General features: G+C 39.3%; 1 annotated feature.

Moving 5' to 3' along the window:
• Positions 1,583–1,752: an enhancer, noted in NCBI's record as "experimental_17744 CRE fragment used in MPRA reporter constructs". NCBI's record gives its function as "activates a minimal promoter by MPRAs in K562 erythroleukemia cells, with activity observed for the non-introgressed 10:86670459 variant allele {active_cell/tissue: K562}" and the evidence as "EXISTENCE:reporter gene assay evidence [ECO:0000049][PMID:34662402]".

Consider the following 14,270-nt stretch of genomic DNA (forward strand, 5'->3'; position numbering starts at 1 on the left):
GTCTCTGGAGAGAAGGCCCTACTCAATTCTGCTCACTCTTAACTCAAATAGGGCCACTTCCCTTCAGTCCCTAACCCCTACCGCGCCGTATCTTTCTTCGGAGCAACTTCTTCGCTTTTCCTTCCAACCACTCTGTGAAACAGCTCTAGATAGAACCCAGGGCTGTCTGACGCCAGAGCTCATAATCTCTTTGTTTGACAGGAAAGCATCCCTGTGGCAGTGAAATCTGGGCATAAGGAGGTGAACAATGTGGGGAGTGTAGCATATGGGTTGCTCCTGTGATGGTTCCTTGTGCCAGATGGATGGAACATGCAGAGAGAGCACGCACTCAGCATGGAGATTACGAGGGTGAGAGGTGGGAAACACAGTGGAAACCAGAAGCCAAGGTTCCAGGACACACCTGCAAGAGCCCTAGCCACCAGGAAATTGGAGGAGCATACACTCAGCCTTCCTCAAGGTTGGCAGCACAACTGTTATTGAATCAAATTCATCACCTCTTTAATTTAGGATTCCTCCTCCTGACTCCACTATACTCCAACACCCAACTCAGCTGCTTTCCAGGAGCGACTCCCAGAAGTCTGTGTTTCTCTTGATGACTCTAGGCACCAGGGGATTCCTTCTGTAGATCAGTCAGAACTGAACTGGCCTTTTCATAGCAACAGGCATCTGTTTCTATGGAAACATTTGGCAGGGCAGGGAGTACTTAGTAGGGCCAGGAAGTGCTGTAGGCTTGGAAAGAACCATGTAGATATTCCTTGGTTTGCTCCCTGATTCACAACATAAATTAAACGCCTCATCACACACTGATGGTTCTAACCGGGAGTCATTATGAACAGCTCCAGTTCCAATCACTGGAGTCTGGGGTCCAATCACTACCGACAGCAATAAAAGTTATCGTCCCCAAGAAGATTCTATGTCAGCCAGCAATACCTTAGCTTTTAGGTTAAGTGACACCGAAGTGTGCATAGAGAACTCAGGAACCTGTCTCGGTGAGGTTGTCTTGCAGGCAGAAGTGTGGGAGTGGTTTGGAGAAAGAAGCCCGTGCTTTGGTTTTAAACAGGCCTGCTTCCCACTCTCACATCAACCATTTGGCACCTGACTGTCCTCAAAGATGTTGCTTACCATCTTAGGACCTCAGGTTCCTTATTTCCAAAGTGTTTCTTTGGAAATAGCAACCTAATATCCTGCATAACACCTCAGATTGCCAATTATTTGGAATTTCTTTTGTTACCTTGCTTTGATGTAAGTCTTTGAGATTTCCTCATTTATTTTTAGAAAGGCATTGGACAGGCCACCATAATATAGTAATTTTTTTTTTTTTGACAGAGTCTTGCTCTGTTGCCATGCTGGAGTGCAGTGGCACAATCTCAGCTCACTGCAACCTCTGCCTCCTAGGTTCAACTGATTCTCCTGCTTCAGCCGCCTGAGTAGCTGGGACTACAGGCATGCGCCACCACACCTGGCTAATCTTTGTATTTTTAGTAGAGACGGGGTTTCACCATGTTGGCCAGGATGGTCTCGATCTCCTGACCTCTTGATCTGCCCACTTCAGCCTCCCAAGGTGTTGGGATTACAGGTGTGAGCCACCATGCCTGGCCGTACAATTAAAAAAAAAAAATTGAAGTGGCAGAGTCTCAAGTCTCAACTTCAATTACCTTTCTTATTAAAGGTCCATGAAAAATCTTCTTTGGGGGACTTAGAATCTCCCAAGAAAATGCTATTCTGTAATAAAACTTATATTTTTGGTCAGAGTTTGTTCCTCAAAGCAATTATATCTTGTCAGCCTTAAAGAAATTCTGAGGCTACCTAGTAACAGTACAGCAGTGGCAATGTTATGTGTGAAAATGGTAGAAGATGACCATTCGAGCTTAGGTATGAATGCCATTTATTGCAGGAGTCTCAGGGTATTGTTCATATAATTGTGGGAAGGTCAGGTATGCAACTGATTCACAGGCCAACTGGAACCAGAGATTTGCATGTTGCCAGGGTCCAGTCTCTGTCCCTTAACTTATTTCTTTATCATCATCTACCACAAACTGGCTTCCTTCAGGTTGTGAGAAATGCAGTTGCTTATAATTACCGAATCTCCTGCCATTCCCTTGGGTGACTTGCATCTGTTAGTTTCAGTTGGAAAATTTGAAGGAAGAGCTACTACTGGTAAGTGGCTCACCCACCAGTGACTTCATCATGACCAACGAGTCAGGGTGACCTGGTGCAAACACATACAAGGGACCCTACCTCTGTATTTAGACCATTTCCAGAGATGGGAGAATTTTTACTTAAGGAGTTATACCAATTGGTGTCAATTCTAGACCTTTGCTGGCCATGATCATCCTACATCCACTCCTGTACTGAATGCAAACAGAATCCCAGTATAAAATAGAAGCCTAGGTTTTTAGAGAGAGAATCCAGGAAAATCTTGAGAGGTGTGTCCTGGGTTTACATATTCCAGGAGAACTAGGTTCTTTTCTTCTAACTTTTAGTTACTTCCACATCATCAAATTATGCTTCTTTCTGATCAGAAAATAGCTCCATGGAACTGGTCGGAACTAGTTACACATAACCCCAGTACATCCTGTCCATTCACATGTCACCTCTTGATATGGTATGGCTGTGTCCCCACCCAAGTCTCATCTTGAATTCCCATGTGTTGTGGGAGGAACCTGTTGGGAAGCAATTGAATCATAGGGGTAAGCCTTTCCCTTGCTGTTCTTGTGATAGTGAATAAGTCTCATAAGATCTGATGGTTTTAAAAAGAGGAGTTCCCCTGCACAAGTTCTCTCTCCTTGCCTGCTGCCATCCACATAAGATGTGACTTGCTCCTCCTTGCCTTCCGCCATGATTGTGAGGCCTCCCCAGCCGTGTGGAACTGTAAGTCAATGGAATACTTTTTCCTGTATAAATTATTCAGTCTCAGTTATGTCTTTATCAGCAGCATAAAAACGGACTAATACATCTCTTTTCCAATGTATTAGTTAAGGTTACTTTGTTTCATAATAGAATCAAAGCAAGCTTAATTACCTGTCCCCTCATACTGCCCTCCATCTGCCCACAAAACAACTATTGTACAATTAGGATTTGAGAAAAAGAATAGCCAGAGATTATGGAAATTTCCTCAAGAACAGGATCATCCTACCCTTTTTGATATGACCCATGGTAAGAACTACACTTTATATTTCACCTAGAATGCACATATACACAATTGAAATAAAACTTTTGCAAAACAATATTTACCCTTACTATCTGCAGTGCACTGCAATCTATTCTGATAGTATTTATTTTATTTTTTAAAGTGCTAGTAATCAGTTATAATTTTTATGATTTACTAATGAGTTGTATACCACAATTTTAAAATAACTCTTAGTCTAGAGCACTTCCTTTGGTATCATTCAGTGCCAGCTCCAAGTTCTTAATCTCAATTTAAATCACAAAATTGTCAAGAAAGAGAGCATGTTGAGTTCTGCTTGGGTCCAGGGACTGCCCTGTCCTAATCAAAAAGAGTGGGATTCTACACATGACTGTTGATGCCCATGTCTGTATAACACAGGGCAAATTCAGACCCTAGAAGCAGGAGAGACACTTCAGATGGTGTCTGCTACACATGGATATTGGGAATTGAGACAATGGGTCTAAGTCAGTCAGACGGTAATGGAGGCCATAGCTCCAGGGTCAGGTACAGCCAGGGCCAGAGTTGAAGCCATGACAATCCCGTTAGACCCACATGCAAGGGGACTTCATGGGGAAGCAGAGGTGGTTAAAGAAGAAGAGAATGGAGGACAGCCTCTTGACTTCCTAGGCTTCACTGGAGTCTGGACTCTGCTTACCAGAGTTGATCTCTGACATTTCCCTGTTGGAGTGAGACAAAGTCACTTGGTATGTTGGGCCCAGATCTTCTCTCTCTCTCTCTCTCTTTTTCTTTTCTTTTCTTTTTTTTTTTTTTTTTTTTTTTTTTGAGACAGAGTCTTGCTCTGTCACCCAGGCTGGAGAGCAATGGCGCAGTCTTGGCTCACTGCAAGCTCCGCCTCCTGGGTTCACGCCATTCTCCTGCCTCAGCCTTCCCAGTAGCTGGGACTACAGGCGCCCGCCACCATGCCCGGCTAATTTTTTGTATTTTTAGTAGAGACGGGGTTTCACAGTGTTAGCCAGGATGGTCTCGATCTCCTGACCTCGTGATCCATCCACCTCCGCCTCCCAAAGTGCTGGGATTACAGGCGTGCGCCACCCCACCCAGCCAGATCTTCTCTCTTAAGGCTTGAATATATGTTTTGTGGAATTCTGAATTACGCTAAGACAGAAGGGAGAGATGAAAACATTTCAGCTGAAAAAGTCAGGTGGGAAATTTCTCCAATTTTAACCCATATTTTTCTCCTTAAGCGGGGTGGGGACTCTGAGACTGTGAGAGAGACAGCATGGTGTGCACAGCTTTGTCATTGCCAGGCTCAGTGATGCTCAGGATCACTCCTCCCACAGCTACATCCGTGCCCAGGAGTGGTGGCCAAGTATGGCCAAGTCATGTTGTTATAGCATCAGGCAATAAAACATCAGACAATAAAACACAATGTACCAAATATCTTTAGTGGTGGTGAAGGCTGGGATGGAAGACAGTGTTAGTGTGGTTTAGGACTGAAGCCAGAGTGAAGTGTCTGTACAGTGAAATATTATTCAGCAATAAATAAAACTTGATTCATTCAAAAAAATGAGCTATCAAGCCAGGCAAAAATATGGTTGAATCTGCAATGCATGAAGGTATGTCTCATGTAGTTGGGCTTGGCTTCACTGCACTTTTCACAAATTGAAGGTTGTGAAAAGTGAGGCAACCCTGAATCAAGAAAGTCTATTGGCATCATTTTCAAGTGTGTGCTCAATTCATGACTCCTTGTAACATTTTGGTAATTCTCATAATATTTCAAACTTTCTTCTTATTATTATATCTGTTATGGTGATCTTTTATCAGTGATCTTTGATGTTAGTATAGTAATTATTTTGGGTGCTACAAACAGCATCCATATAAGATGGCCAACATAAATGATGAATCTTGTGTGTGTTCTGACTGCACTACTGATTGGTGATTCTCTGTATGTATCCTTCTCCTCAGGCCTCCCTATTCTCTGGCACACAACAGTATTGGAAATCAGCTGTTTAATAACTCTGAGGTAGCCTCTAAGTTTTCAAGTGAAAGGGTGAGTCTCCTGATGTCCCCCATCTCTTACATTCAACCAATATAGAAATAATTTATTTAGTGAGGAAGGCATGTTGAAAGCTGAGATAGGCTAAAAGCTAGGCCACTTGTGCCAGTTTGTCAAGGTGTGAACAAAAAGGAAAAGTTCTTGAAAGAAATTAAAAGTGCTACTCCAGTGAACATATATATAAGGAGAAAGCAAAACCTAAGATTGTTTGCTAATATGGAGAAAGTTTAATGGTCTGGAAAGAAGACCAAACCAGTCACAGCATTCCCTTAAGCCAAAGCCTAATCCAGAACAAGACCCTACCCTTTTCAATTTTGTGAAGGTTGAGAGAGATGAGGAAGCTGCAGAAGAAAAGTTTGAACCTAGCAGAAGTTGGTTCATGAGGTTTAAGAAAACAAGCTGTCTTCATAAAATACAAGTGCAAGGTAAAGCAGCCAGTGCTAATGTAGAAGCTGCAGCAAATTATCCAGAAGCTCTAGCTAAGATCATTGATGGAGATGGCTGCACTGAACAGCAGATTGTCCATGTAGATGAAACAGCCTTCTATTGGAAGAAGATGCCAGGTAAGACTTTGTAGCTAGAGGCAAGAAGTCAATGCCTGGCTTCAAAGCATCAAAGAACAGGCTGACCTTCTTGTTAGGAGCTAATGCAGAAGGTGACTTTCAGTTAAATCCAATGATCACCTGCCATTCTGAAAATCCCAGTGCCCTTAAGAATTTTGCTTAATCTACTATGCCAGTGTTCTATTCATGAAATAACAAAGCCTGGGTGATAGCACATTTGGTTTACTGAACATTTAAAACCCCTGTTGAGACCTACTGCTCAGAAAAAAATGTTTTTTTCAAAATATTACTGTACATTGACAATGTACCTCATCAGCCAAGAGCTCTGATGGAGATGTAAGAGGAGATTAATGTTGTTTACATGCCTGCTAATACAACATCCATTCTAGTCCATGGATTAAGTAACTGTAGATGTGGCAGAAATAGTAAAAGAACTAGAAGAATTAGAAGTTGAGCCTAAAGATTTGACTGAATTGCTGCAATCTCATGATGAAATTTGAACATATGAGTAATTACTTCTTATGGATGAGCAAATAAGGTGGTTTCTTCAAACTGTATCTACCTCTGGGGAAGACGCTTTTTATATTTTTGAAACAACAGCCAAAGATTCAGAATATTTTATAAACATACTTAACATAAATAGTAGCAGGATTTTAGAGGATTGACTCCCATTTTGGAAAACTTTCTGCTGTGGTAAAATGCTATCAAACATTATTGCGTGCTACAGAGAAATTTTTCATGAAAGCAAGTGTCAATTCATGCAGCAAATTTTATTGCTTTAAAAATTTCCACAGCCACCCCAACTTTCAGCAACCACCACACTGATCAGTCATCAGCCATCAAGAGGAAAGCAAGACTCACTGAAGGTTCAGACGGTTGTTAGTATTTTTTAGCAATGAAGTATTTATTTATTTATTTATTTATTTATTTATTTAAGATGGAGTCTAGCTCTGTCACCCAGACTGGAGTGCAGTGGTGCCATTTCAACTCACTGCAACCTCTGCCTCCCAGGTTCAAATGATTCTTCTGCCTCAGCCTCCTGAGTAGCTGGAATTATGGGCATGCACCACCACACCTGCCTAGTTTTTGTATTTTTAGTAGAGGTGGGGTTTTGCTATGTTGACCAGGCTGGTCTCAAACTCCTGACCTCAGGTGATCCACCCACCTCGGCCTCCCAAAGTGCTGGGATTACAGGCGTGAGTCACCGTGCCCAGCCAGCAATAAAGTATTTTTTAGATTAAGGAATGTACATTGTTTTTGTAGAAATAATACTATTTCACACTTACTAGACTACAGTACAAAGTAAACACAACTTTTATATGCACTGGGAAACCAAAAAATATGTGTGACTTACTTTATTGTGATACTGTATTTCAATGGTCTGGAAAGGAAGCCACAATATCTATAAGGTATGCTTATACTGAAAAGTAAGAGGCTAATCTAAAAAGACTACAAACAGTATGATTCAACTTATGTGATATCGTGAAAAAGGCAACACTATAGTTTTGATTTAGTTGAGATATGGTCAACCTGGATGGCTCTCAATTTGGAGAATTTCAGAATACAAAGTAATTCTTAGAATATTAGAGACACACTCAAGTTTAACAGAGAAAAGGATGAGAAATAGCATAAACATTGTGTAAGCGGGTTTATATTTATCTCAATCCCAACACAAACCCTATGAGTTAGAGATTACCAAAATCTCCACAGACAGAGGCTCAGAGAGTTTCTGAGGTCCAAGGTGGGTTTTTGAGGGGGGAGAATGACTCGGTCTATCAGTGAGAAGAAAGCATGTGGAGCATCTTCCACAGAACTCTTCTATGCCAATTATAGGAAAGCTGAAGTCCTGAGCAGAAGAACAAGAAGTGCAGTGGTTTTCTATCCTCCTTCTTTCTGTCCTCTGAGAACATCTCACCGTCATGGGAAGGCAAATGCATGAGTTTTGATTTTGCCTTGAGTACCTTAATTTCCTTTAAATGATTGTGATATGTTTTGAGATTCATTTGTTGTCTTATTCTAAAATGTTTAACCAAATGGGAAATTATTCTCTCTGTGTGTCTCTTAAATTGTTAATTCTTTATTTTCATATTGTTTTAGTTTAATTTATTCCTTCTATCATTAAGTACTGTGTCCATGAATATGTAACTGGCATTGTTGTTTGTCTCTTTCTAACCACTTTGTACTAATTTTTTAAATCCTAGGTTATCATGTAATTACTGTTGCCATCATTTTTCTGTGAAATCCACATATTCTAGTTTATGGATATAAGAAGATAACAATTATCAAGCAGCTTTTGTTTCCAATTTTAGTCTCCATCTGATAAATAATTGCGATTTTTTCCACCCCCTCTCTTAAATATACCCAATTATAATACTAAACATCTAGGAACTGGCTCATGTGTGCTTGCAAACTCAGCCTTCCTGACTCTAGGTGATATTTACATCTTCCCTCTTTCTGTCTTTGGCCCATGACTCCCTTCACCCCAAGGAGATGTATTTGGTGTTCCTACGCAGGAATGCCTCCACTGAATTTTTGGATTTATTCTCAGTCATCACCCACCTTAACCAGGACAAACCTACTCAACCTTTGTGTGCAATAAGCTAGAAGTGCAGTACCTCTTTTCCCAGCATCTTAAAGAGATTTCAGTGATGTAATTTTTATGATTATTACTCATTTAAAATTCAGTCTGTTTTCACTAGGTCTTGGGTGTGAGTCTAGGAGAGGTGGGGTCAGTAGGGACATGAGGAGCAGCCACTTTGTGGAACTCAGTACTTTACCTCCAGTGAAACATCACCCAGGGGCTTGTGATCATTTCTGCTTCAAGCTCTCTCTACCCTGGGGTAAACACTTCTAGGGGGCTCCTAGGCAAAGGTTCCCTGGTGGGGGACACCCTTCCATTCTTCTAGGCTATGCCCCACACACACACACACACACATAAAATCATTATCTTTTCATTGACTTAAGTCTAATTAAAAAAAATTGGCTTTTATTCTCAGCCCATTACAAACCCAACTAAAAGCATGCTAAAAAGATATCAGTGGTAAGGGCAGTCCATATTTGAGCAGGGAGGTCATACATCTGTTTCCTGAAGTTGATCTGGAGAAGCCCTCTCAAATCATCAGAATGGATCTTCATTTTTCTGATAACATGGAACACTGACCAGAAGAGAATCACAGCTATGTTGAATTTACATATATTAATAAGATGTCTGAATTGAAAAATCAGTGCCATTGCTTCAGGTTCTGTATTGTCCTATAGTTCAAGGAGAATAGCCTGATAAAAATATGTTATCTCTAACAATAAAAGAAAAGTTCAGATCAATATCCTTGATGAATCTCGATGCAAAAATCCTCAACAAAATACTTGCAAACCAAATCCAGCAGCACATCAGAAAGATAACCCATCATGACCAAGTAGGCTTCATTCCTGTGTTGCAAGTTTGGTTCAACATATGCAAATCAAGAAATGAAACTCAACACATGACAGAACTAACAACAAAAACACATGATTATCTCAATAGACACAGAAAAGACTTTCAATAAAATTCAACACCCCATTCATGTTAAAAACTCTCAGTAAATTAGGTATTGAAGGAACATACCTCAAAATAAGAACCATCTATGAAAAACTCACAGCCAACATCATACTAAATGGGCAAAACTGGAAGCACTCCCCTTGATAACTGGCAAAGGCCAAGGATGCTCTCTCTCACCATTTCTATTCAACGTAGTACTGAAAGTCTTAGCCAGAGCAATCAGGCCAGAGAAAGAAATAAAAAACATCCAAATAGGAAGAAAGGAAGTCAAACTATCTCAGTGTGCAGATGACATGATTCTGTATCTAGAAAACCCCGTAGTCTCAGTCCAAAAGCTCTTTCTGCTGATAAACAAATTCAGCAAAGTTTCAGGATACAAAATCAAAGTACAAAAATCACTAGCATTTCTATACACCAACAACATCCAAGCTGAGAGCCAAATCAGAAAGGCAATCCCATTCACAATTGCCACAAAATGAATAAAATACCTGGGAATATAGCTAACAATGGTGGTGAAAGATCTCTGCAATAAGAATTACAAAACACTGCTCAAAGAAACCAGAGAAGACACAAACAAATGGAAAAACATCCCATGCTCATGAGTATGAATAATCAATATCATTAAAGTGGTCATACTTCCCAAAGCAATGTACAGATTCAGTGCTATTCCTATCAAACTACCAATGACATTCTTCACAGAACTAGAAAAAACAATTTTAAAATTCATATGGAATCAAAAAAGAGCCTGAATAGCCAATGCAATTCCAAGCAAAAATAACAAAGCTGGGGCATCATGTTACTTGACTTCAAACTATACTACAAAGCTGCAGTAACTGAAACAGCATGGTACTGGTATAAAAACAGGCATTTAGACTAATGAAACAGAATAGAGACCAGAAATAAGGCTGCACACCTATGGTCATCTGTTCTTCAATAAATCTGACAAAAACAAGCAATGGGGCATTCCCTATTAAATAAATGGTGCTGGGATAACTGGTTAGCCATATGCAGAAGACTGAAGCTGGAACACTTCCTTACACTATATGCAAAAATCAACTCAAGATAGATTAAAGACTTAAATATAAAACCTCAAACTATAAAAACCCTGGAAGACAAGCTAAGTAATGTCATCCCAGACATAGGAACGGGCTAAGATTTTATAATAAAGATGCCAAAAGCAAGCACAACAAGAGGAAAAATTGACAAGTGGAATCTTATTAAACTAAAGAGCACCTACACAGCAAAAGAAACTATCAACAAAGTAAACAGACAACCTGCAGAATTGGAGAAAATATTTGCAAACTATGCATCTGACAAAGGTGTAATAAAACTTAAACAATTTTACAAGAGTAAAACAAACAACCCCATTAAAAAGTGGGCAAAGGACATTAATAGACACTTCTCAAAAGAGGACATACATGTGGCCAACAAACATGAAAAAAAGCTCATCACTGATCATTAGAGACATGCAAATTAAAATCGAAATGAGATGCCATCTGACACCACTGAGATGGTCAGAATGGCTATGATTAAAAAGTCAAAAAATAACAGATGCTGGCAAGGTTGTGGAGAAAAGAGAACACTTATACACTGTTGTTGGGAGTGTAAATTCTTTTAACTATTGTGGAAAGCAGTATGGAGTTTCCTCAAAGAGTTAAAAGCAGAACTACCATCGGACCCAGCAATCTCACTACTGGTATATACCCCAAAGAATAGAAATCATTTCATCATAAAGAAACATACACACGAATATTCATGGCAGCACTATTCATAATAGCAAAGAAATAGAATCAACCTAATGTCCATCAATGACAGATATAATAAAGAAAATGTGGTACATTTACACCATGGAATACTATGTAGCCATAAAAATGAACTAGTTTATGTCTTCTGTGGGAACGTGGATAGAGCTGGAGGCTATTATCCTCAGCAAACTAACACAGGAACAGAAAACCAAATACTGCATGTTCTCACCTGTAAGTGGGAGCTAAATGATGAGAACATATGAACATGAAGAAGGAAACAACAGACACTGTGGTCTACTTGAGGGCAGAGGGTGGGAGGAGGGAGAGGAGCAGAAAAGACAACTATTGGGAACTGGGATTAATTCCTGGGTGATGAAATAATCTGTATGATGAACCCCCATGACACGTTTACCTATGTAACAAACCTTCACATGTACTCTCGTACCTAAAATAAAAGTTAAAACAACAACAACAAAAAAACCCCAAAATATGTGATCGCTACCTTACCTGGTCACTCTTCATTGGCAAAGACAGCTGCATAACAGGATAAGCGGTTCCATTTAGGAAAGAACTTCCAACATAATGCTCACAGTTTAACTTTCTAAAGCAACCAAATAGTCTTGACATTTCTGATAATTATCACTGGAAAGCGATGTATGGGCTTCTGAAATATTTGTACCTTCATAATTCACATTTCCGTTGCCAGGATTGTTTTGGCATAAAGATGGTCCCAAATAAGAACCTTTTCTTGGTGCTATAGTTAATAAGAGTTTGGCAAAGAAAGCCAAACTCTTAAAAAGAGAAAGCTTGTGGCTTTCTTTTTAAAATGAAACTCTTTTTTCTGTTTATCAAAGTTATATGTGCTCATCACAAAAACTAAGAAAATATAGACAGAATCACCTAAATCATACCATAAAGAAATGGTATAATCATTATTGTGAATATTTTTTATTTTAAAGTGTTTAGATTCTGTCATTGGACATTTGGGTGGTCTTAGCTAAGTTACTTAACCTCTCTGAGATTTAGTCTCCTTATTTTAAAGATGGGGGTAATAACAACCTAACTGAAATTAATAGGGTTGTTGTGAGCACTTAATGCATCAATGTATGTAAAACTTAACAATAACCAGCACATAGTAAATGCTCAGTACATGCTAGTTGTTAATATTATTTTCATAATTGTTATCATTATAATGATCCTTATTATTTCCACATAATTTTATCCTTTTTTCTATATATGCTTTTTCACATAGTTGGGTTCAGGCTGTCTATATAATTTTGTATATAGCTTAATCACAAACATTAGAAAATAAACATTAACGAAAGTTATTGCAACCTCTTTGTACACATAATTGAAAATAGTGAAATAATATTATACTTAGACACGGAACCTTAATTTACTTAACTGTTGTTAGATATTTATGTTGTTCATAATTTTTCAGTATTACAAATAATGAGACAAGAAACATCTGTGCATAAACTTACGTGCGGGTACTTAAGCTTATTTCTTCAGAGTGAAATTACTAGTTCAAAAGTAACACTTGGGATACATCATGTAAAATTATTTTCTAAAAGAGTTTTGACAACTCATATTCCCCAGAGCATTGTACAATTGGGCATATTTCAGTGGGATCTTGACAACATTTGAAATTATTGTTGAGATTAGTTCTTTTACAGGTAAGGGTTCATCAATGCATGCAACACAGATATTATTGAGCCTACTGCATGTTAGAAACTGTTGGGCACTGAGATAGAGGGGGAAAGGACAGAGAGTCTTTGTTCTTATGGAACTTATACTTGGGGCAGATATAAACAGGAAATAAGCACAATTTAAACAATCACTTAATTGTGAGTATGATGCATGTTATAATGGAGAAATATGTGCTACTCTGAGCGATTAAGGAGGCATACTGATTTAGTCTTGACCTCTCAAGACTAAGGCTTCTTTAAGACAGAGACACTTCATCTGCTGCAAAAGGGGTAAGTTGGAGTATCTTAGTAAAGAGCAGGTGCAGGGAATGGCATTCCAGGCAGAGGGAACAAGACATGCAAATATTGGTGAGAGGACCATGGCTTGCCAGAGGAGCCAAGGAAGAGCCAGAGAGGTGGGGCACTGAGAAGCAGGGAGTGTGCCAAGGAAAAGACAGGCTGAAGAGGTAAGGAGGACAGGGACTAATCCTAAGATTAGCTAGCGAAGCTGAAAGGATTTTAGTATGAGAGTAATATTATTAGCATTTTAAAGAGGCTAAATTGGTTAGAATTTGCAGAGAATGGTTTGTAGGGAGGTGTGAGAGAAAGCTCCTGAACTGTATCTGTGGAGGGACAATGGTAGTTTAAGCTACAGTTGCAGATAGAGAAAGAAGTTCTCTATATATTTAACATTTAATATCTATCTATCTATCTATTTAACTTCTCTATCTGCAACCACTGTAGCTCAAACTACCATTTTCCCCCCACAGGGCATTTTATATATATATATATATATATATATAGAGAGAGAGAGAGAGAGAGAGAGAGAGAGAGAGAGAGAGAGACGTTATGATTAGGAGGTAGGAGAGGGAGGGCAGTTGAATGTCCTTGGAAGGTGAAAGAAAAGAAAAGCATATGTTAAATACAGTTTTCAAATTTCTGGTATCAGCAATGGAGTAGATTATTATGAATGGAAATGGGGGGAGAAGCATAGTTGAAAGAGAATGGACTTCAGATTTGAAGGTGCTGAAATTGATCTGAGAAAAACAAGGGGGAAAGTTAAGCAGTGAGTTGAGAAAATGTGTCTAAAACCCAGATAAGGGGTCGGGGATGGAATAAGTGGCCATTACGATGTATATATATTAGTATATTGATGGTATATATATTAGTATATTGATGATATTTTGAATTGCAGAAGTTGGTGAGATGACTTAGGGACAAGTGTAGAGTGAGAAGGAAAAAGAGCCTGGAAAAAGCCCTGAATGATTCCAAAGTTTAATAATCACCTAGAGAAGGAGAAGCTAGAAAAGGATGGAGAAATTCTCAGAGGTATGGATGGAAGCTGAGGTGTGCGGTGTCAGGGAAGCCCAGGGAAAAATGTGCTCTCAGGAAGGAGTCATAGTGTGAATTGCTGAATAGAAGCAGTCAAGAAAGAAGAGGATTGAAAGGTATCTATAGGATTAAACAATAACCAGGTGATGGCTGACTTTACAAATGCATTTTTCAAGGAGTAGTAGGGGTGGAAGGCAGATAGGAATGAGTTGAAGTATGGA

Source organism: Homo sapiens, chromosome 10 (genome assembly GCF_000001405.40).
Source record: "Homo sapiens chromosome 10, GRCh38.p14 Primary Assembly".
Taxonomy (NCBI): domain Eukaryota; kingdom Metazoa; phylum Chordata; class Mammalia; order Primates; family Hominidae; genus Homo; species Homo sapiens.